The sequence below is a fragment of the Homo sapiens genome, chromosome 12 (genome assembly GCF_000001405.40).
Source record: "Homo sapiens chromosome 12, GRCh38.p14 Primary Assembly".
NCBI lineage: Eukaryota > Metazoa > Chordata > Mammalia > Primates > Hominidae > Homo > Homo sapiens.
The window spans coordinates 109,495,981-109,520,430 of NC_000012.12; the positions used below are offsets into that span (position 1 = coordinate 109,495,981).

Consider the following 24,450-nt stretch of genomic DNA (forward strand, 5'->3'; position numbering starts at 1 on the left):
GGCCTATTCCCAAAAATCACCACAATCTAATTCCATAATATTTTATCACCCTGAAAAGAAACCTAATACCCATTAGCAGTCACTCCCTTTTCCCCTCTCCCCAGAACCCCTGGCAACAACTAATCTACTTTCTATCTCTTTGGATTTGCCTGTTGTGGACATCTCACATAAATGGAATCACATCATATGTGGTCTTTTGCTACTGGCTTTTTTCACTTTGCGTAATATAATCAGAGTTCATCCACGTTGTAGCATGGATCAGTACTTCATGCATTTTATGGCCAAATAATATTCCATTATATGGATATACCACATTTGAGTTGTTTCTACTTTTTGGCTATTATAAATAGTGCTGCTGTGAACATTTATGTACAAGTTTTTGTATAGACATATGTTTTCATTTCTCTTGGGCATATTCCTGGGAGTAGACTTCCCTGGGTCATGTGGTAACTCCATGCTTAACCTTTTGAAGAATTGCCAAATTATTTTCCAGAGTGCCTGTGCTATTTTACCTTCCCAGGAGTAGTGTTGTGTGAGGTCTCCAGTTTCTCCACATCCTTGCCAATACTTGTTATCTGTCTTTTTTATTTAGCCATCCCAGTGGCTGTACAGGGGTATCTCACTGTTGTTTTGATTTACAATTCCCTGGTAGTTAGTGATGTTGAACATCTTTTCATGTGCTTATTAACCATTTGTGTATCTTCTTTGGAGAAATGTATGTTTAGATCCTTCGTCTACTTTTTAATTGGATGTTTCATCTTTTATGAGAGTTGTGAGTTCTTTATATGCTCTAGATACAAGTCCCTTTTCAGACAAGTGATCTCCAGGTGTTTCCTTCTGTTCCATGGGTTGTCTTTTCACTTTCTTGATAGTGTCTTTTGAATCACAAAAGTTTTAAACTTTGAAGAAGCACAACTTACCTGTTTTTTTCTTTTGACTCTTGTGCTTTTAGTGTGATAACCTCAGAAATCATTGCCTAACCTGAAATCTCAAAGCTTTACTCCTGTGTTTTCTTCTAAGAATTTTATAGTTTTAGTTATAAAACTAGCATTTAGGTCTGTGGCTCATTTCATTATTTTTTATATATGGTGTGGGATAGGGACCATTATTTTATCTAATAGTATTTATCTTTTTTTGATTATGGAAGCAATACATGCTTATTGTAGAAAACCTAGATAAAGCAGAAAAACATAAAAAAGAAAAAAATTTCTCATAATTCTACAACCAGAGATACATTGTTAACTTTATCTGTCCTCAATCTTTTAAAAATGTATCTATATTTGTGTTTATATTTCGAAACATTATACAATATATATACTTATATATAGTATACATACTATAGATACACTACATGTGTATATATTGTGTATCTATAGTGTATATATAGTTTTAAATAAACTGCTTAACTGAATTATGAGTTATTGGTGAGTTACCACAGAGTGAACACACCTGGGTAAGCACCACCCAATAGAGAAATCGATTATACCAGCACTCCAAAACCCCCTTTTTTCCCTCCCTCCCCATCACAAACTCCTTCCTCTTCCATGTATATAGTTTTTCATCTTGCCTTTTTTTAAAGTTCATTGTAGCATGAGCATTCTCTCATGTCAGTAAAATTTCAAAACTGGTTTTTCATAGCTGCACAGTATGGCATCAGCAACTGGACCATCACTGACTTGTCCATTTCCCCAGTGTATGTCCCCAATTTCAGCCTTCAGTTTTCTCAGAAATCCCACGCAGAATAATTTCTAGGAATTTGAGCACGTTGGTGGGGTTGTGCTTTTGTTCTGGATGCACACGGAGACCTGTCTGAATGAGTGGATCTATCTGTGTCTAGCCCTGTGATTGCTGCACAGTTCTCAGACAATCTGATTCGGCCGTTCCTCATCCACATCATGTCTGTGCCTGCTCTGGTGACTCATCTCAGCACAGTGACCCCTGAGGTAAGCAGGCTCTGTGAGTTCCCCGTGAAAACCCAATTGTGTTTTTCTTTTCTTCTTAAACATTAGAAAGTAAAATGGCTTCTCTGCTTATTTCCACACCTCCCTTTAATTGTTCTTTGGGACCAGTGGCCGTGATAGACACATTTGTGTTAGTAGCCCAAAGAAGTGGGTTCTTGTCTGTCCATTTTCTTCTTGGTGTTTGCTAGCACATCCTCCATAACCACGGGTGATCTGCAAGTGATCAAGTTCACTCTCTACAGGAAACTGTTTCTGGCAGTTTCTGATTTAACGGTCTGCTATTCTTTGCAGCGCCTCACTGTTTTAGAATCCCATGACATGCTTCGTAAATTCATCATATTTTTAAGAGACCAAGATCGATGCCGTGATGTATGTGAAAGTTTAGAAGGATGCCATACGCTTTGTCTAATGGGTAAGTATCCGTGGCTGGAACTTGATTGTGTCCTGGCCATCAGGGAAAGCCCGAGTGTTTTGCCTGTCACTATTCTAGAGATTTGGTTGTTTTCTGTAACAATTGGAAGTGCTTACAATAAAAAACACGTATTTAGATAGACAGTTAAAATAGACATGTAAATAAAAATCACATGGAAAATATTCCAGCCTGGCAAACTAGTTAAGTGACTGTTAATGAACATTAGATGTCAGCCTTTAGCTTCCTGGCAGTCAAGGAGAAAGTGAAAATGTGGTGAATTGCCTGGATAATTCCCATCTCAAGAGAGAAGGGAGGGAGTAGTTAGGTGGGGCTTATATCAGAGCAGCGCCTGCTTTACCTATTTTACAGTGTTTTCATTGTAGATGGAAGAAAGGGTTTATGAATAGAAGCATTTGAGGCAGAGGCACAGAATTCTCCTTGCCTAAATTTATTTTAGATAGGAAAAGTTTTTTTTGTTTTTTTTTTTTTGAAGACAGGGTCTCACTTTGTCACCCAGGCTGGACTGCAGTGGCACAGTCATGGCTCACTGCATCCTCTACCTCCTGGGCTTAGGTGATCCTCCCACCTCAGCCTCCTGAGTAGCTGGGACTACAAGCGCACACTACCACGGCCGACTAATTTTTGTATTTTTAGTGGAGACGGGGTTTTTCACCATGTTGCCCAGTCTAGTCTCCTTGGGCTCGAACAATCCACACGCCTCAGCCTGCGAGATTACAGACTTGAGATAAAAACTTCCCTGGGGCCAAATTTCATGAGGAGTTTCTGGTGCGAATGTTCACACGAGTGACGTTGACTAACTGGTGAACGTTGAATAACAGCGACTTCCCACGACACTCAGATACTCTTCAAAGACCATTTCTTATGTTAACCCTTGATTTTTAAGCATTAATATAATATTAAAATGTAACACTAACTAAATATCACCTACCTCTGTGTGCCTAACATTTTACCTGCCACTTCATCCTCATATGGAGAGTAGGGATCATCATTCCAATCTTACAAATGAAGAAACAAGTTTGAGACATGGGTTGACGGCCACGGCTCACCTTGTCTGTGGCATAGCCAGGATTTGAAGTCAGCTTGGCCCGTTTCTTACCTTTGCACCACACAGCAGCCTCCGGCATTGACAGGTGCCCCTTATGTGGAAATTTCTTGCTGCACATGGGATGTGGCCGCCTGAGCCACAGGCAGGGAGCAGGGCCGGGAGGCACCAAAATGTTTGTCTGGGCCCATCACACTCAGCCTTCTCTCTCTGTAGGCAACCTCCTACACTTGGGCTCCCTCAGCCCCAGAGTGTTAGAGGAGGAGACAGATGGGTTCGTGAGTTTGCTCACCCAGACGCTGTGCTACTGTCGGAAGTATGTGTCTCAGAAGAAGTCCAACCTGACCCACTGGCATCCTGTCCTTGGCTGGTTCTCCCAATCTGTGGATTATGGGTGAGTCCCAGATGCAAATCACTGTCTTTCCTGCCTCTCTCCCACCATCTTCTTCTTCCTTCTTTCTTTCTTCCAGCTTGTGGTGTTTTGTTTCTTATTATAAAAATAATATGTATTCATTATATATTAATAAATTGTGAGTAAGAACAAAAGAGGATAAAAACCAGCCCATTATCCTGTAAACCAAAGATAACTTGAGTGAACATCCTGTCAGTTTTCCTATCTAGAAATACTGATCCTTTTTTACAAAATTGAAATCCTATTATTTTGTATTTTGTTCCTTCCATTCAGCTATGGACCTTATCAATGTTTTTTCTTCTTCACTGTCACTTTTTGACTAGACTGCCATATTTTGGAGATGCTAAAACAAGACAAATGATTCAAAGGGAATAGAAATCACCCAAAATCCTTTTCAAGAGGTGGAATATAAATTTTTAAAAGTGTAATTATGAACTTAAAAACATGAGAAACACTAGACTAGAAGAAGGGAGATCAAGTAAGGTGCAGCTTCATGAATTTGAAATATCTACCTGAGCTGAGATAAAGTGGTTTCTGGAGAGGAACCAGCTCTGCTGCCCCAGCTGTTTTCTTGTTCACATATCTGCTCGAGGCATGGGGTCCCTGGCAGTTACCCTTGCAGCAGAAAACTAAAGGCCTGGGGAGGAAATCCCCAAATTTTTCTTTTGTTGTACCTGAGTGACATCCCTGGGTCCTATCTAGTTAAAAAGACTCATTGCTAGGGAACAGCCTGCCCCAGCGTGACACCTCAGCCTGAGGAGGATGGGGCGGAGGTGCTGAGAGTCAGGAGGCTGTGGGAGGTAAGTGAAGGAGAGCAGCACCTCCGCAGACAGCCTGCTCTCCGCTCCACTTCCTCTTCTTGGAGGGACTTGGACGACTTGCTTTGCCTTGCTTTCCTCATCTGAAACCTGGGGATAATTTTCACCCTCCCTTTGATAGGGCTTTCTAGAAAGATTGAATGAGATAATGCATGTGAAGCACCTACCAGCAGGCAGGCCTGGCCGTACTCAGGGGTGGCGGCTATTAACAATATGATGATCAATGTGGGAACCACTAGGAGTCTCACCTCACCTTCTTGAGCAGGAAGGTGACAGCAGATTCCAGGAAGTTGAGGGATGCTGAGTGCAGTGTGGAGTCAGGCAAGGAACCCCTGGAATGCAAGGAAACACTGAGGAGGCTGCTGAGTCATCTAGATTTGGCCCCCCACCACCTGCAAGCCAGCTATGAGGAGGGAGGCAGTGCAGTGGGTACAAGATTGTTTTTGTCACCTGGGTGGTAGCAAGTGTCTTCGAGAAGAGTGTGACTCATGGAGCTTGGGGACCTGGGGAAAGCAGACAAGATGAAGAGTCAATGCCCTTGACGTACCAGCCCCTCAGCAATGATTTGTTAGTTCCACTTTTTATTTTTGTAATCTTCTTTGCCATGTTGAGTGCCAGGTCCTAGCTACAGCTCCGAGTGGAAGGCCATTAGGAACTGTGTGGGCTGGCCCTGGCCCTGCATCAGATGGAACTGACAGACCAGGTCTCCTCTGCTCTCTCCTAGCCTTAACGAGTCAATGCACTTGATCACCAAACAGCTGCAGTTCTTGTGGGGGGTGCCTCTGATCCGGATCTTCTTCTGTGACATCCTGAGCAAGAAGCTACTGGAGAGCCAGGAGCCAGCCCACGCACAGCCAGCATCCCCTCAGAATGTGCTCCCAGTGAAGAGTGAGTGACGGGAGCAGGCCCAACCCTGTAGCTCCACTTGGCTGAAGTACAGCTCCTGTTTCTTCCTATATGGATGTTCCGCTGTGTTTGTGGGATGCTCTAACTTTGTTTTTGTTGTTATCGTTCTTGTTGTTAGAGACAGAGTCTCACTGTATTGCCCAGGCTACAGTGCAGTGGCATGATCATAGCTTACTAGCCTCTAACTCCTAGGCTCAGGTGATCCTCCCACGTCAGCCTCCCAAGTATAATAGCTGGGACTACAGGCGTGTACTGCCATGCCTGGCTAATTTTTTTTTTTTTTTAATTTTTGTAGAGATGGGGGCCTTACCTTATTGCCCAGGTTTGTTTCCAATTCCTGACCTCAAGTGATCCTCCTACCTCAGCCTCCCAAAGTGCTGGGGTGACATATATGAGCCACCATACCTGGCCTCCAGCTTGTTCCACAACAATTTTGAGGCTTGTTAGGTCACTAAGTTCATATATAGCAAAACAAAAAATCCATAAGAATAGAAAACAAGGATTGGGGAAATAGAAATAGGTGAACACAATCAAGATTGGGTCATAAAAGCATGTCCACACACATATGTTACATTAGGGCCACTGTGGCTACCTGTGAACTTCAGTTTGGCTGTGAACCAACATGAAATGTTTCAGAAACCGACATGAAAAGGGGTCTGTGGATGCTTTCTTCTAATTTCTTAGAAGTAGAGCTTTTCTGAGTTCTTAAGAAAATAAATCTCCCATGTGGGACTCCTTATAAAGGAGCCACTCACTGAACCACAGGCGGGGCTAGCGCTTCAGTGGCTTTCCTATCGCAGGGTCAGTAATGGGTTCCATGGGAAGGTTCTCGTTGCACGCTCTTATTAAAAGTTATGGAAAGGCCACTAATGCATAATTTGACAGAGTTACCTGCCTGTGGTGGGTTTTCAGGTTCAGGGTGTCTGTTCTTCTACTGAGTGTGTTGCAAAACTCTGTCTCATAGCTAGCAGTAAGCGTGGGCTCAGCAAATGTGACTCCAGCAGGATATCAATGGGAAGGTTGAAAACAAAGGTAGAATATCATTCAAAACCAGGTGTCAGAACTAGAGGTTGTCACGCCTTACTTCCCTCTAAAGGCACAGAAAATAGAGATGTAGCCAGGGCCCCTGCCTTTGCCCCTCTTTCCCTAATATAGTCCTCTGAATTTTTACCATTGTGGGTTTTGAAATTTGGTGATTTCCAGTATAAGAATCCCATGTAAGATTTGAATATGCCTGGCTTATTCTGAGAAATATTTGGGTATTCTGAAGAGATCTTTGGGTTGTACCTAAAAACCTGTTGTTAATGTTTTTCTAATTTATCCCAAAGAAATGCCTTGAATTGAGTGAGTTGCCCCACTGTCTGGCCTGGCTGTGCATTTAGAGCTTTACTGAAATGCTCTTCCTTTTCCAGGGTGGGATTTGGCAGCTGGCTGAGCTGCTGCTCACATGTCTTCTTTTCTCCATGCCAGGTCTCCTAAAGCGTGCTTTTCAAAAGTCGGCATCAGTCCGGAATATTCTCAGGCCTGTCGGGGGTAAACGGGTCGACTCTGCAGAAGTCCAGAAGGTTTGCAACATCTGTGTCCTCTACCAGACCTCGCTGACAACTCTCACACAGATTCGGCTGCAGATACTCACAGGTTCGCAGTCCCCAGGGCATCTTCTTCACCTCTCACATTTGGCAGACAGTTTGTCTTAGCAAAAGTCGATGTTTTTTTCTGGCTTCTTTGACTCTGAAAATAGATTCTGAAGGAGGGCATTTTTGAGCTGTTCCTCTTAGAGATTAGTCCACCTCAGTTACATTGCTCATGCTCACCTCAATCATAAGCACTTGCATCTCATTCCTGTTTTGTGACTCTTACTTTAATTATGAAGTAGAATTTACTTTTAAAAAGTTTCTGTTTTCTGAGTAAAGAAGCAAAAAAGATAGGGTTGCAAAAAAAAAAGGAAAAAGAAAACCACTTTTAATTCCATAATCCAAAAACAGTCAACTGTGCCTGAGTGTACTGCACATATAAAATAAATATATTTAAATTGAAATATACAGCACTATGCTTTCCTTTCCAATAATCATTTTACCATGTCACAAATTCTTCGAAAACCTTATCTTTATTGGCTACATAGTATCTCATCACATGGATATGCCCAACATTTTCCTTTTTAGCTTAACATGGAGGAAAGTCCCCTCTGTGAGCACAGAATTGGGTATCACAGGCTTTTAGGTTGCAGCACAGTTGTTGTTATGAATTGGTCTTACAAGTACAAAAGGCCTTTGTAAACCGTGGAAGCCTTTTATTACATGAAGGATTAAGAGCTTCTCTGCTGCATTTTACATTTTTTAACATCATAAATCACTGCTTCTCTTTCACACTTATTTATCCATTCTTCAAATATTTATTGAGCACCCCTGTGTGCCAGGCACTGAGGATACAGAGGTGAAAGAGAGAGCCAAGTTCTTCGTTCTCAAGGGGATTGTATTCTAGTAGTGGGGAGACTGAAAATAAGCAAGTAAAAAGTAGGGCTCATGTAATGATGGGCACTGTGAGAATGAAAATGCTGAGAGATGATGTTGGCCTGGGCTACAGCAGGATTTCTCAGCCTTAGCATTATGGATGTCTTGGGCTGGCCCATTCTTTGTCATGAGGGGCTGTCTTGTGTGTTTTGGGATGTTTAGCAGCCCTGGTCCCTACTCATAGATGCCAGTAGCACCTTCCCAACCAGCGTGACAGCCAAACATATCTTCAAATTTGGCATTCAGCCAAATGCCCCCTGGGAGGCAAAATCATTCCTGGTTGAAAGCCACTGGCCTAGTTTAGTAGCAATGGAGATTAAGGCAGGAGGATTTAGATTTGTTTTAGAGGTAGAAGATATGGGTCTTACTGGTAGCTTGGATTTGGGAGCATGAGGACTGAGGGTTTTAAAGAAGATACCAGGTTGTTGGCCCAACCACCTGTGTGGATGGTAGCACTGTTTGCTGAGCTGGAGAAGACCGGGGGCAGGGCCTGTGAGGAGTCTGTTGTGTTGTGGCTGTGACAAGGGAAAGGGGCCTGCTGGGCATGCTGGCAGAGGTGACACTCTGGGAGCATCAGCTGAGGGATGGAGTGTAAAGCCATGGGCTTTCAGCCTAGGGCAGGTTTCCCAAAGATGAGCAGAGGGAGGAGAGAAGGGGCAAGACCATACCTGGGGTACCCCAGCGCCTGAGGGTTTGAGCAGCATCTTGAGTGAGAGGAGTTTGGGGTTGTGGTTTGTGTCCAGCTTTTTTTTTTTTTTTCGAGACGGAGTCTCACTCTGTCGCCCAGGCTGTAGTGCAGTAGCGCAATCTCGGCTCAACTGCAGGCTCCGCCTCCCAGGTTCACGCCATTCTCCTGCCTCAGCCTCCCGAGTAGCTGGGATTACAGGCGCCTGCCACCATGCCCGGCTAATTTTTTTTTTGTATTTTTAGTTGAGACGGGGTTTCACTGTGTTAGCCAGGATGGTCTCGATCTCCTGTGTGTCCAGCTTTTTAAATGAGCTCACATTGAAGCTCATTTTCCCAAGTGAGAGAATCCAAATACAGGTTTTTTAGTCAACTTGAAAATATACACTTTAAGGATAAAGATAAACTAGTCTAAAGTGTATGTTTGATATTCAGTCTATTTAGCAACTTAGATTATAGAAAATAACGCTTGTTTTTAAAATACTGCTGTTTTTCTACTGACAACTTAGGAAGTGTCTGTTTGTGCTCCTCACACACATCTGATAGCACTGGCACTGCTGCTGGTCTGTCTGCCATTGCTCTGCCAGGCCCAGTGTCTCCATCTCTGTCTAAATGGCTAGATATGCAGCCCTTGTTGAATCAGTGTGTGATGCTATGAGCATTCTAGTCTACGCTACATGAGTCCTTTACACAGAACTCGAGGACACTTGCTTTTCTTCTTTTATCCCATAGGAGTATATTTGTGATCTCCACAGTGTTAACTGTTTCCTCTGTTTCTATTTTAACCTATTTTTGAATTGTGAGAGTTCCACATTCTTGGGTGTGTTTGATATAACATGGACAGTTGAAAGACTAGTTATGAGTGGGGCACCTATGTCATCACCAACAGATCAAGAAAGTCTTGCTTCTAAAGGCTTCTTTATAACCACATCCTCCTACCCTTGAAAATGTGAGGTCTAAGCTCTAGGCATAATCACTAAATTGATACAATTCTTGGCCTCCTTTAGAATTCCTTCAGTTCACCCTCTAAGTATCCTTCAGTAGCTCTGATGGAGTTCCCCCAACTCCCACTGCTGGCTAATATACCTTCCCCAAACAGTTCTTTATTCAAAACTAAATAATTCAGAGAGTGCCCTATAAGATGAGAGGTATTGTAAGGGCTCGTATACAAGGTGACTGTGCTTTTCTGAGGAACACACCTTAATGTATATTCAGTGACACATGGCATTTCAGATCCAGCCTTTCTAAGTCAAGAGATGTGTTATTAGATGTAAACTATACCCGTGATGTGGCCTGTGTGTCTAAGGCCTTGTAGCCATCAGGAAACAAATTTAGAAAGTCCTCTGTGTCCCCTTTTGCTTCCTCAGGGTTCCATTTTTGTATAGTTCAGAGCATCCTACCACAGTCATTGACTGCATTTCCACTTTTAACATAATAGAATAATAGAGGTAAGTGGGGGGAAGCTTTGCCAAAGGTGGCGAGCCTGCAAGATGGTTTAAGGCAAGGGTCAGCAGACTACTGTTGGGGGGCCAAATCCAGCCCACTACTTGTTTTTGTCAATAAATTTTTACTAGAACAGACCCAAATCTGTTTTGTTTTTGTTTTTGTTTTTGTTTTTGGAGACAGAGTTTCGCTCTTGTCGCCCAGGCTAGAGTGCAGTGGTGCGATCTCGGCTCACTGCAACCTCTGCCTCCCAGGTTCAAGCGATTCTCCTGCCTCAGCCTCCTGAGCAGCTGGGATTACAGGTGCTGGCCACCACGCCCGGCTGATTTTGTATTTTTTAGTAGAGACAGTGTTTCTCATCATGTTGGCCAGGCTGGTCTCAAACTCCTGACCTCAGATGATCCACCCGCCTCAGCCTCCCAGAGTGCTGGGATTACAGGCGTGAGCCACAGCACCGGGCTGCCAAATCTGTTTCTTTACACATTGTCTGTGGCCGCTTTTGTGCTGTAGTGGTAGCACTGAGTAGTTGTAACAGTGTTAGACTAAATTTGGCCTGAGGATGCCTCCATATTTTGAGTCCTTAAGTAAGGAACTGCAGCCTAACTTAGTATGTAAACTGACTAGAAGTCTAACTTAGGACTATTCAGTATTTTTGTAACAAATAGCTGCCAATCACAGCAGCCTAGCTTCAATCAATCACAGGTGGCCATCTGATTAGACCACATTCAAATAAGGCAAAGCCGAGGTGTAACCAGTCAAGCTGTCTCTGTACCTCACTTCAGTTTTGCCCCTAAATGTTGCCTGCCCAGAATGTGGACTGGAGCTGTCTGAACCTCGTCTGGTTCTGAGGGCTGCCTGATGGATGAATTGTTTTTTGCTCAGACTTGGCTAGATTTAATTTAACAGCAGAGACCTTCTGGCCCACAGTGCCTAAAAATATTTACTCTTTGGCTGTTTCCTGAAACAAATTGCTGATCCCTGATTTAAAGCATAAATGCTAAGTCAGACCTGAGTTCTATTCCTGGCTCTGACATACAGGCTGTGTGATTTGGGGCCAATTATTTAACCTTTCTGTGCTTCAGTTTCCTCCTGTATAAGATGGGGATAACACTGGGCTTCAGAAAATGGAAAGCAAACAATACATACGGAGTGCTTAGAATGGTGCCTGGCACATAGTCAGCACCCACTGACTACTGGCTCTTATCATTGTTACTCTCGTGGTGATAATGCTTTTCTCCATAATCCCACCTTCTTTTCACGCACATTAAATGTTCATGGATAGGTTTAAGTGTTTTGTTTCCCCACTGGATAGGAGAAATAACAGACCAGGTGGAGTCTCCACCTGAAGCTTGGGTTTCTCTGTGTTTTTTCCAGGTCTCACTTACCTTGATGACCTGCTTCCCAAACTGTGGGCATTTATCTGTGAGCTCGGGCCCCACGGAGGGTTAAAGCTCTTCTTGGAATGCCTGAACAATGACACTGAAGAGTCCAAGCAACTCTTGGCCATGCTGATGCTGTTCTGTGACTGTTCGCGGCACCTCATCACGTAGGTTGACTGCTGTGGGACTGAATTCCTTTCCTAGAATATGGAGAGACCAAAATACAGTGTCAGTAAGGAAGTAATTGCTAATGTGATTACTGCAAACATTTGGACCTGTGTGGCAGGGCATTGTAAGAACTAGCCATTTACCAAGTGAGCAGTGTGCAGTAAATGTTCAGCAGTTGTTAGGGTGGGGCCTGGGAGTTAAAAGTTCCCATCCTTTCAAGGAAGCTGATCAGTACCACTGGCTGTGGCTTGGGGTCTCCTGGAGATGGGTTTAGATCATGGCTCAGCCATTTATTCACTGTGCTAGCTAGATTCCTGGAAAATTCCAAAGTCAGAGCCAGGGTGCAGATCCTTGCTAAGCAGATCTTGAGACACCCTGGGCAAGGGATCACGGATTCAACCTCTCTGAGACTCAGTTGACTCATCTGTAAATGGGAATGACAATAGCACATACCTTTTAGGCACATGGTAGGGATTAAAAGACATAATTATTGCAAAGTGCTTATCACAGTCCCTGGCACATAGGATGAGTTCAGTACTTGTTGGCTCTTATTATTATCAAGCCGACCCTGAGCAAGTTTCTTAACCTCTTTGAGTCTCTATTTCCTCATTAGAATGAAGAGAATATTACCAGTTCAATAGAGGGTAAGTGAAAAAAACAGCGTCAAATACTTAGTGCAGTGCCTGGCACAGAGTGGGAAATTAACAAACATTAGTCCCATTTAGTTCCTTTGGTTTTTAAGCTTATGCATCTTGTGTGTTTGGTATTCTTTTCATTCCACCTTTTCCCAAAAGGTTGGTGAAGAATTATAAGATACAATGGACCTCAGGCAGTTATGTTCAGGCTGGAAGACTTTAGCCGGAGAGGATCAGGGACATGTAGGTGGCAGATTGGGTGAGGATCATGGAAGAACTCACTGAGCAGTTGGAGGCAAGAGCAGGGGTCTAGCTGCTGGTGAAGACATCCTTAATCACTGGATGGGGGTAAGCCAAGAGTGAATCTTATTCTAGTGTATGGAGCAGTGTTAGGAAATGTTCAGATAGAGCTGTGTCTTAAATGGCTCATTTATTCATATGTTCTTTCAAACATTTATTCATTTACTCACAAATGCTTACTAAGTACCTGCTAAGTGTCACTAGTATGTGTCTTAGATATCGAAAAGATTCTGCAGCTTTCCTCAGTAAACATCGACTCTCAGTCAATGTTCCTTGATATGCAGACATGAATAAGGAAGGCGTGAATTGAGGTGTGAATTAAGAAAGTGTCACAGTCAGATCCTTATGAATAAGAAAAATATAGAGTACAGATTTTTTCTTAATTGTATTTTTTAACTTTTTACTATGGTCGATTTCAAATTAATAGAAAGTAGAAAGGATAATATAATGAACCCTCATGTGCCCATTATCAGCTTCAACAGTACCACCTCACAGCCAGTTTTGCTTCATCCAAATGCCCACCTGCTTTTCTCTCCCACATTATTTTGAAGCAAATCCTAGACATCATATCATTTTTTTCATTTTATTTTTATTTTATTTTACTTTAAGTTCTAGGATACATGTGCTGAAAGTGCAGGTTTGTTACATAGGTATACATGTGCTGTGGTGGTTTGCTGCACCTGTCACCCCGTCATCTAGGTTTTAAGCTCTACATGCATTAGGTATTTGTCCTAAGGCTCTCCCTCCCCTTTCCCCCTACCCCTGATGATATCATATCATTTTATCTGTAGATTTTACAGTAAGTATCTCTACAAGATAAAGCTTATTTCTCAACCTCGTTTATTGTCTAGTAAGCAGTACAGATTTTTTTTCTCTTCGCCTTTTTTCAGTGTGGAATTGTGGGTAATTTTCTCTCTGATTTAGAATCCTTGATGACATTGAAGTTTATGAAGAACAGATTTCATTCAAACTGGAAGAGCTGGTCACTATCTCCTCTTTCCTGAATTCTTTTGTGTTTAAGATGATCTGGGATGGAATTGTAGGTAAGAGAAAAGGTGTCTGCTGTTGTTTGGTTGATGCTGCACCCAGGGAGGCCGAAGAGTCTATGGCATCAACTGATTCTTAGCTTTATTGTCTCTCCAAGTTAATAGAAGGTGCACATTTATTCCCACAATTGGAAATTTTCTTTCTTCACTCTCTGTGACTTCTTAAGATAGTGGTGTGGTTATAGAAGTCTTGCTCTCCCAGGCTCCCTTCAGGATTTGCATGTATGTGTCGAGGATTATTAATGATGATTAATTTTGCCCTGAATCTCCTGTTGATTCTTCCATTTGATTTCCGTGAAGATAAAACATGTGCCAGTGCACACTTGAGATGAGAGTCCACCTCCCGAAGTGTCTCCAATTGCTCAGGACAAAGCTCCTTAGACTTAAAAGGCCCTTCGGATGACACACTAGTGGGAGGCAGCATGAGTGATTTTGTCTGAGAGGTACTCAGGCCCTGCAGACACTTAGCACTTACCCAGGGTGCCTTTTAATTCTGTCGGTTCCACATATAATTCAGAGCGAGGGAGATCAAGGACTTGATGACAACTGCGGAAGACAAGAGCTGTCCTCCCCTTGCTCTCTGGCTCTGACTCCTCCTCTGACTTTCCTGTTTGTTTGTCCCACAGAGAACGCCAAGGGTGAGACCTTGGAGCTGTTCCAGTCTGTCCACGGGTGGCTTATGGTGCTGTACGAGCGGGACTGCCGGCGGCGCTTCACCCCCGAGGACCACTGGCTGCGAAAGTGAGCTCCAGGGGTGAGGAGGGCTCCATGGAAGCCAGCCTGCTCCGGCACGCTGCCCGAGCACTCAGCTCTCATGTTCTAGGGCAGAGAGGACTTTTTCCCTCTGCTTCATTTTGTCTGTTCATTTGTGTAAAGAGAGCTGCTGTCCCTGTGAAGCACCTGTCAGGACGCTTCTGTTAAGAGATGTTTACACCAAATATGATTAGAGTTAATTAATGGCAACAGAGCCAGATTATATTTAGCATACATTTCTCATCCAAACTAGGAAGAGGTCTTTTAGCTGAGCTGAGCAACAGAGCATGAGAGTTAAAAGGCAGTTTTTATTAGCAGAATTACTAGAGTAAAAACTGCTTTTAGGTTTTTTGGAGAGTAATGGGGTGGGGGAAATCCTCCTATCACAACTGAACATAGGCATGTATCTGCATTTTTATCAATGAGTTCAAGCTTTATGGCAACTGCTGAAGCTGTGGCACTAGAGCAGGGACTGGCAAACTTCTGTAAAGGGCCAGATGACTTTAGGCTTTGTGGACCAGACAGTCTCTGTTGTAGCTACTCAACTCTGCTCTTGTAGCACAAAAGCTGCCATAGGCTATACATGTATGAATGAGTATGGTCATGTTCCCATCAGACTCTTGAGAAACAGACAGCACCCTGCATGTGGCCCACATGGTGTCATTTCCCAGCCTCACACTAGAGGATGGTTTCCTTCTTTTAATTCTCCCAAACCCATGTCTTTCTTCTCAAGGGATCTCAAACCTAGCGTGCTCTTCCAAGAACTCGACAGGGACAGAAAACGGGCACAGTTGATCCTGCAGTACATCCCACATGTCATCCCTCACAAAAACGTGAGTTGCACTCAGAGCTGGGCCCCGATGTGTCTTTCTATTCCCCCACGTGGTTCCTGCCTTTCCATCCTTGCTATGGCAATTGGAGGTGACTAAGTGGGATCATTCATTCAGCACAAGGAAACGGTGGTTGCTATTACTTTGGTGAGGTTACACCCAGTGCTGGGGTACAGAGCTGGAGAAGACAGTGTGAACTGGCGATGCTGGTGGAGTGGCAGCCCAGGTACGGAGACCTGACCAGCTGGAGGGAGGGAAAGGGGACAGGAAAGGGTCCCACGGGCAAAAGTGGACAGTGTTGAAAGGCTGAGTTAGAAAGGATGAGGTGCTTTTGGAGAGTCAAATGTGCAGTGTGGCTGGAGAGAATAGAAAGGATGGGGTCAAGAGGAAGCCGAGGAGGGTAGTAGGAACTAGAGCAAGACAGCCTTAGAAACCAAGGCTGGGAGCAAGGGCTTTCTGCAAAGCCACCGGAGGGCTGGAAGCTTAGGAGGCACCTGGTCAGAGCCATACTTCAGGAAGGTCATCTTGGCTGCAGCGTGGAGGGCTGGCTAGAGGCAGGGGTGTTAAAGCAAGCTGTCCTGCACTAGGGTGGGCCCTGGGAGTCAAAAGATGAGCAAGTCAAGAGATTTTTAAGGAGGCCTCAGAGAATGGTCACATCCCAAGGGGAAAGAAAGGAAGAATTCAGGTGATGCTCGGGTGTCTGGCTTGGGTACTTGGGGGGTGTTTTCCTGAGGTGGAAGAGCAGGACTGGGACATGGCGGCGAGTTCAGCATCGAGCAGGTAGGATGTGAGATGTCTCTGGCTCCTGGAAGCCATTGGAAAGGGGGTCTGGCATTCAGGAGGGAGGAGCTTGTGTGGGGAGAGCACCCAAATCTCCTGACTGCCCCCATGGACTGGGTGAGGTAGTCAGGGAATCAGACAGCACCCAAGTCTGCTGACTCCCCCCATAACCTGGGCGAGGTGGTTGGGGAGTCAGACGGAGTGAGAAGTCCAGGGCACTGAGGCAGAGCCCTGCAGGACCCGTCCCACAGAGGGCCAACACGAGGAGGGAAGGAGGGAAACCAGGAGAGTGCCACACACCCGGGGGATGAGAGAGACTTGGGGAGGATTGGGCTGTGGCAGGAGCATCCAGGAAATGAGGGTAGCAAGCATGGCTCACGTCCCTGGTGAGTGGCAGGCACTCTGGAAATGTCCGATGCTGCGACAACACTCAGCTCCTCTTAGAAGAGTCTTCTAGGAGTCTAGGTTGTGTCCTTTATTTTTCTCCTGTTCTATTTTCTTTTTCTTTTTTTAACGAAGTAGACATATTTTTAGAAAAGAGCATAAATCATATTTTTGTAAATTAAATCTCATTTTTCAGAGGTATTTCATCCTCACTGCTGTCTGATACTGTTCTGTCCTTGACTTTAATACTTATGGTTGCTATTCTTTCCCCCTCAAGCAGTGATGTGCAAACAATGTGGCTGTTTAAATTCTTACTGCACTTGGCAAACTCTCAGAAGTGAAGGGCCTTACGGCAATTACTTAATCAAATGTGCCTTCCTTGAGGGAGCCCCTGCTATGATGTCCCTGACCTTGCTTCCAATAGAAAATGCACAGCTTTGCAAAACAGGCTGTTCTGTGGCTTTACTTTTCCAAAAGATAGAACATTCTTCCTCATCATGAACTGTGCTTCTCTGTAACTTCTACCCTTTGGTCCTTGAACAACCCCTAAAAGTGGCTTCTTTTATCTTCTGTGATCTGTTGGCAGCTCCCGTTTGCATGTGGGGCTTGTGTTTTCCAAGTGTAGTATCCTTAGCCTCTCCACCTCGTCTTTGTTTGAAATAGGCTCCAGCCTTCATCTCCTGGGCCTCATCTGGTTTGGTGGTGTCTGGTTTAAAATGCAGCCCCTCCTCCTGGACCCGCGTGTCTGTGAAATCAGCCTCTGACCATTGCATTCCCATAACACATCGTCTAGACCCTCCGCTCTGTTTCTCTGTGGTTCACGTGTGCTGTGGCCACTGGAGGTGCTGCACAATATTTTAAATTTCTGAGGAGAACACAGTGAGACACCACATGAACTGCTAGTTCAGAGTAGTTCGTGGTTTCAACATGAGATTGCACTACATTCTTTTTAATGATGTTTGCAAAGCTGGCTTGTAAGAACAAAATAAAAATATTTTATATTTCAAAGTATGTGCATTTGTAAAATACAGCAACTGAGGTCTTAGGACATAAATATTTGGGACCTAACTACCTAGTAAAAAGGACTGCTAGGGATTTCTTTTGGCCTAGGAGTACCATGAAAAAAGTTACTGCAGTGATAGAGGTGCTGTGAATAAGAAAGTCAGGGAACCGCTGAGATAAATTGGAATGACTTTTAAGTCCAGGGTATATAGTAATCCCCACATTTTTTTTTTCTTTTGGGAATTTTGCTTAAATATGTCATCAAGGTTGTTTGTCCTTAGTTCATAAAATGTCCTCCCTCAGGAAAATGGGGCCCTCGTCATCTCCTGCCCCTTCCTGCTCCGTGATTGCAGGTCCTGGGGGAGTATCTAAGGCTTGGTGTTTTCAGAGCAGATGGGCTGTCTTGTTGCCCCTCCGCCCATCTCAAGCTTCAAGCTCCCCTTAGTGGCATGTGTGCTGCCCTCTGCCATTGAAATATTCTTGCTGGAGTACACAGGAGGGTAATAGGCTCTCTCTGCTCTGTTACCATTATACCATCTGCCCTAAATGTTGAACCTCTCCCTTGTTCTCGATTTCACTATAATGCCTTTCTTGTTTTCCTTAACATTTGTTAAAGCCTCAGCTCTGCCTGGCTCACGTGCACAGCACTTCATTTTCTGCACCCTCTTACATCGCTTTTACCTGTTTATGTGTGACTCATCCCCTGGCTGGCCCTTAAGTCCTCTCTGCCTTTTGTGTTTACCCAGAAGGCCTAAGAGGTGTGGAGTGGGCAGAGGCTTTGTAGTATGGGGGCTGTGTCTGGGCTTTGGATTTCATTCCATCCCCCTGCCCACCAACTGTGTAGCCTTGGGTGAGTAAGGTCTTCATCTGTAGAATGGGGAGAATGATCCGTACCCAACTGTCCACTGCAGTCGCTGAGGTTGCCCAGCCCTTGCAGCCTGGATAAGCTTGCCTCAGACTTTCTTCCATGCCCCATAGAAATCCAGAGCCCTGTCCAGGCTTTCTGTGGTCACTTCTGTCTCTTTAGTTCTGTTTCTGTGTCTTCTGCTATCTCCACCCCATACTGGATTGACCCAGATGTAACTCGCCTTCCGCCTGTGTATCACCAAACAGCACCCCTTCAGGTGGTCATGCCAAAGATTTGGGGTCATAGGAAGTAGTTGTGTCACAAACTACACGACTCCACATGACAAACACCTGTTCTCAAAAGTCCTACAGTTCCCCTGCCATGGAGGGGAGAGGTAGGAGCACCCTTCATTCCTATCACCAGCCTCCCTCCCTGTGTCCCCAATCTGTCCCCTCTCTTCTGCATGGCCCTGGAACCTCTCAGGGCTTTTGGTTCTACTCAGAGCACGTCAGTCCTGTCACGTCTAGATCTGTCAACCAGCCTCAGCAAGATGCTTCACTGAACAGTAGTTCCTCCACTCAGTACCATCCCCTTTCTTCTTCTTTTTTTTTTTTTATTAAGACAGAGTCTCGCTCTGTCGCCCAGGCTGGAGTGCAGTGGCGCGATCTCAGCTCACTGCAAGCTCCACCTACCGGGTTCACGCCATTCTCCTGCCTCAGCCTCCCGAGTAGCTGGGACTACAGGTGCTCGCCACCACGCCCAGCTAATTTTTTGTATTTTTAGTGGAGACGGGGTTTCACCGTGTTAGCCAGGATGGTCTCGATCTCCTGACCTCATGATCCGCCCGCCTAGGCCTCCCAAAGTGCTGGGATTACAGGCGTGAGCCACCGCGACTGGCCCATCCCCTTTCTTCTTAAGGGGCTGTTGGTCATTGCTTTTTTTGTTACAATCATATTTGCCTAATAGAGTTAACATAATAATTAAATGAAAATATACTAGCACCCACTGGTATATAGTATTTCCTGTTGTTGTTACTATTATTACTGTTTTTTTGTTGTTGTTGTTGTTGTTTTGAGACAGAGTTTCACTCTTGTTGCCCAGGCTGGAGTGTGATGGTACGATCTTGGCTCACCACAACCTGCGCCTCCCAAGTTCAAGCGATTCTCCTGCCTCAGCCTCCCGAGTAGCTGGGATTACAGGCATGTGCCACCACGCCCAGCTAATTCTATATTTTTAGTAGAGTTGGGGTTTCTCCCTGTTGGTCAGGCTGGTCTCGAACTCCCGACCTCAGGTGATCCACCTGCCTCGGCCTCTCAAAGTGCTGGGATTACAGGCGTGAGCCACTGTGCCCAGCTGTTACTGTTCTTATTTGTATTTAATAAAGTTCTTGACTTTGGGGGAGATTCCCATTTTTAAAAAAACAGCTGTGGTTAGATTTATGTATTCATTCAGCTGACTTGATTTAAATGGTATTAGGGTGCTGATTCTTGAGCCCAGGATGGGGCAAAGAGTCATGCTCTTTCTAAATAGGTTTAGCAGAATCTTAAGAATAAGGAGAGAGGGTTCCTTTCAAGCAGTAATTGAGAAATATTACTGGTGGGACTGTGGTGGGCTTGAAGGCACAGAGGAGGCAGGTTGAAAGGTCAGGGAGCTTTATACTGTAGGGTCATTTTTAAATTTTCTGACAGTAGGAAAAGTTATCTTTGAATTATTTTTGTTCTTAGGATTCATAATATTGATTTCCCTTAAAGCAGGCACAGCTAGATAAAGAAGGCTCTGTAACTTGTTCTGCCACCAAGTTTTTATAGTGGATTATTGACTGAATGAGGAGGATTTTCTTTTTTCTTTTTTTTCTTTTTTTTTTTTTTTTTTTTTTGAGACAGAGTCTCACTCTGTCCCCCAGGCTGGAGTGCAGTGGCACGATCTTGGCTCACTGTAACCTCTGCCTCCTGGGTTCAAGTGATTCTCCTGCCTCAACCTCCCAAGTAGCTAGGATTACAGGTGCATGCCACCACACCCAGCTAATTTTTGTATTTTGTATTTAGTAGAGACGAGGTTTCACCATGTTGGCCAGGCTGGTTTTGAACTCCCGACCTCAGGTAATCCGCCCACCTGGGCCTCCCAGAGTGCTGGGATTACAGGCGTGAGCCCCCACGCCCAGCCTTGAGGAGGATTTTCTCGTGGGCCATTCCTAGCTGGACCCTAGCTGCAGCCAGACCACTCTTTCCGGAACGTTTTTTGCTTGTGTATTCAACAGTATTTCTAATTCCCACAAGTGTTCCAGGGAATGCTTCTGTTCTCACAGGACACTTCTAACTGGTAGCACATGTTAAGGCATCCCATTCTGCTTGCATCTCATCTAACTTCAGTTTCAGTCATTTTTGCAGAGTGTTTTTATGGAATCGTCAGTTTGCTGACCCTGTTTTCTGATCCCGCCTTTGTTCATTTTAGAGAGTTCTACTGTTTCGAACCATGGTTACCAAGGAGAAGGAGAAACTGGGGCTGGTGGAAACCAGCTCTGCCTCCCCGCATGTCACTCACATCACCATCCGCCGGTCCAGGATGCTGGAGGTGAGTGTGAAGCCTATGGAATCCTACCACAAGGAAGTGGGCCCTGCAACATGGAAGCTCTTTAGTGGACGGTCTCTGGCTTTTGAACTGTTCCTGTTACTCCTTGATCTGAAATTAAGGCTCTGGGAGCAGGAAAGGGGTCATTTGTCCTGTTGACTGCTCTGAACAGCTGCTTGGTTAAACATGTTCTCATTGCTGGAGACCCAGCAGTGTCTTCCTTTACCCCATGAGAGCTAGAGTATCCTGGGCTAGAGCATCCACCTCTTCATGTCCCTTTGAAATGAGGACAGGAGCTGCCAGTCACAGCGGCTGCACTAACACTCTCAGGTCTGTGCAAACTCCATTTGTCCCAGCAGGCACTTTGCTGAGACTCTCAACTGTGATTGTAGTATATAAGTGGAGTGGAGGTGTTACATTTACTGAGTTATGTAGAGAAATACTTTTATCACAGAGCCAGAAGTTCTTTGTAGACAGAAACTTACAAGATACCACTGAAGTGACCCACCTGAGCTAAATCCGTTGTCTGGAACTACCACTATACGGTGACTCCATGTAAATTAGAGATAGGTACCCAGTCCTCATATGTCAGAAAATTGTCACAATACATTGGTTTTGTTGGTACAAGACCGTGCCTCCAATCTGCTGGAACATGGTTGTCATAAACTTAACTACCTACGATGTCTGTGTTATCCATGCCACAGCCTCCCCTGGGCTTGTATAGTGCACAGCCTACCCATACATGCTCATCCTGCCAGCGATAGAATTGGTGACTGAGCCACAGTCCCCATTCCCTGGAGAGGCTTGGCTTCATTTATTTGCCATGTTTGCACTTCAGACCTTTTTATCACACTCCAGCTGCAGTTCCCCATGAGCCTGTCCTGTAGTGTAGGACAGTCACGGGATCCCCTGAAGTATGTGGCCAGATAGCCACCCCCACCAGCAGATGGCTTCTGGCAGCAGCTGTTCCTCCTCACGTGTCTTCATTTTCTCCCTCGGTGCATCGTACCTTGTTTGTGTCACTCCTTACTGGAGAGCTTGTTTGAGTGCCCCTGGCCACTGGTGATCAATGCCGAGAGCTGCTAGGAAGGCAGTGTGTGCTGAACAGTGGATGTTTCTGACATTCTTCAAGGTAGGCATAAGGAATTGAAGGGCCCACTGGGCCCTGCAGGCCATGTGAAGGAGTAAAGCTGGCTGAGTGGGTCTCATTACAGGAGCATTCTGTTTGCGTGCTAGACATATAGAAATAATCTCCACTTCTGCGCCCTCCTGTTCTTGAAACAGCCCTCTTGGTCTGTGTAGCTCTACTTGAGAAAAATAGCCCCCACGAGTGAGTTGATAAATGGCAACTGACACCCAGCCTCAGTGTTGGGGAGCAGTTGGAAGCACGTGCCTCCCCAGAAGAGGCCACCGCCACTCAGCTCCTCCAGACCTGCCATGTGACGAGGTGGGCTCCATAACGCTCTTGAGTTTTTAAGAGAAGGCCAAAATTCAGATCTTCCATGTTGTGAACTAATTGAACTCTGTAAAGTGCCTAGAAAGTCAGATAACACCTGTCTTTCCACCAAATTCAACCTGTGGGCCACCCATTTGCAACCTCTGCTTTTGATTCAGAAAAAGCCCAATTGTGTGGTAGGGACTCCCTTTCTAGCACTTCCCTCTGCAGACCCAGATGCATCTCCCTTGTCTCTAGAAATCCTCAGCCCCACTACCCATCACGCCTACCCAGACGTGGCCAGCACCCACCCATGGGAAGAGTCTGGGGTGGTATAGATTGCAGTATCTCCTGAGAGTGGCAGAATCCGACTCCCTTCACAAATATCATTGCTTATTGGAAATTCACTTGACATCCCAGTTACTCTGGCCCTACTTTTTAAAGCATATCCCTCAGGGATGGCAAAAGAGATGTCTGTCTTAGGCTTTAGGCAAAGTCCCTTTTCCTCTTTACTTTCCACTGGAGAAGGGGAGAGGGTTGTTCATTGTTATCCCAGTTGTCGTAATCTGGTGGCTTGGTTATTAGAATATGAGAGCCCAGGGGCCTTTGCTGGATTTGGACACAAGGGGGCGTCAGTAAGCTGATCTCAGACTCATGCTCTCCTGGGCATTGTTTCCTTTTTTATGGTTAGTATTGAGGGCTATGCTTCTCTATTAGGCTTCCAGATATTAAAGTCCTGTAGGAAGGCTCTTCTTCCCAGAGGGTGAGTTTGGGCTGGAACTCTAGTATTCAGAACCGGAAGGATCCTCAAACATACTCTTACCCAGTCCTTTCCCCTGTCTCTGTCAAAGGCAGAACTGAGGCCAGAGAACTTCAGTCAAGGTCACTTGGATATCAGTGATAGAGCTGGGCCTGGAAGCCAGGCATCCCTTTTCTAGCTCAGTATTCCCTGTGTGTGCATGTTGAGATGCAGTGAAGAAGAGGAACGCTGACTCACATTCACCTCCCAAGAGGCATGGATATAATCCTCGCATATCCACGCCAGTTCCCAGAAGGCAGGAAATGTATCACAAGAGGCAGTCCCCTCTAAACGTTTAAACAAAGAGGCTGGTGTGGAGCTGATCAAGCAAGACTGAGATTTGAATCCAGTAAACGCTCCTTGAGCTAGGCCATGTGCCACTTGCTTTCACATGTACCATCCCATTTCATCCACATAACCACAAACGCATCTACTAATGCGTGTGAAGGCTGGGGAGGCATAATTTTAAAGCAGGTTGGAGGAACTCCTGCAGGCAGACAGGAACTTGATGGAATTCTCCATCCGTTCTCATCTCAGTGCCAAGATAATTATCTTAAATTTAGGCAGAATGGTTTAAATGCTGTTACAGCTGCCTGTTGACTTCCTGTTTCTCCCTTTTGTCATCTAACTTAATGATTCTCAAACTTTATGTACATAAAAAGTCCTTCTCAGGTTTGCCTCCACAAAACTGTGCTCCTGTTCCCACATGTGACTTAGGGGTCTTGAGAGGTAATTTTCCCTTGCCCACTAACTTTGAAGCCTAACCCCTGAATCGGGGCACCATAGGATAGTCCTTTGGGGATCACTGGGTGAACATGGCAGGAAGGCAGCAAGGGTTCCCCAAAACAGGTCTCGCCACACTGGCATACTGCTCGTTTGCTTTGTGATGAGGGGACCAGACGGCAGCCGAGTGGATGCTGTGGAGACAGCCTGTCTAACCTGCGAAGCATGTGACAGTGTTACAGTTGTAGCTGAAAGGGAGAAATGTGGCATGGCCTTCATAGGACAGCAGGGTTGATTGGTCACTTGTTCCATCACAGTGTCTGAAGACATCAGTTTCACCTGGTGATTGGGCCTCTCAAGTCGGGCCAACAGACTCTTCCCTGGGCCCTGTGCTGTTCAGCACTGTTTTTATAGTCACTGCTCTGAAATAAAAACCTCAGCACCCCAAGTACTAGGAATGCATTAGATGATGGAACCAGAAGCCAGGAAGGCCTCAACAGATTAGAATCAAGAGACAAACTAAACAGATGATTTAGTAGGAGAACTCCAAAGTTGTGGTTCTGGGGCTGTGCATGTTGAGGTCTGGATGGAG

At 45.1% G+C, this 24,450-nt stretch overlaps 1 protein-coding gene across 18 annotated transcripts in view; it reads left to right on the forward strand.

Annotated features, from left to right (window-relative positions):
* The window catches only part of UBE3B (ubiquitin protein ligase E3B), a 70,196-nt gene that overhangs the window by 18,347 nt on the left and 27,399 nt on the right, over nucleotides 1–24,450 (forward strand). For 17 of the 18 annotated variants that reach the window (XM_011538961.2, XM_047429852.1, XM_047429851.1 and 14 more), the window contains 10 exons: nucleotides 1,838–1,943; nucleotides 2,253–2,373; nucleotides 3,653–3,830; nucleotides 5,391–5,554; nucleotides 7,043–7,210; nucleotides 11,584–11,755; nucleotides 13,616–13,734; nucleotides 14,364–14,478; nucleotides 15,224–15,323; nucleotides 20,785–20,904. In XM_011538961.2, coding sequence (XP_011537263.1) covers nucleotides 1,838–1,943; nucleotides 2,253–2,373; nucleotides 3,653–3,830; nucleotides 5,391–5,554; nucleotides 7,043–7,210; nucleotides 11,584–11,755; nucleotides 13,616–13,734; nucleotides 14,364–14,478; nucleotides 15,224–15,323; nucleotides 20,785–20,904 — 1,363 coding nt within the window. Of the gene's footprint in view, nucleotides 1–1,837; nucleotides 1,944–2,252; nucleotides 2,374–3,652; nucleotides 3,831–5,390; nucleotides 5,555–7,042; nucleotides 7,211–11,583; nucleotides 11,756–12,550; nucleotides 12,740–13,615; nucleotides 13,735–14,363; nucleotides 14,479–15,223; nucleotides 15,324–20,784; nucleotides 20,905–24,450 lie in introns of those variants that run through there. The other variant, XM_047429854.1, reaches the window with a different exon arrangement.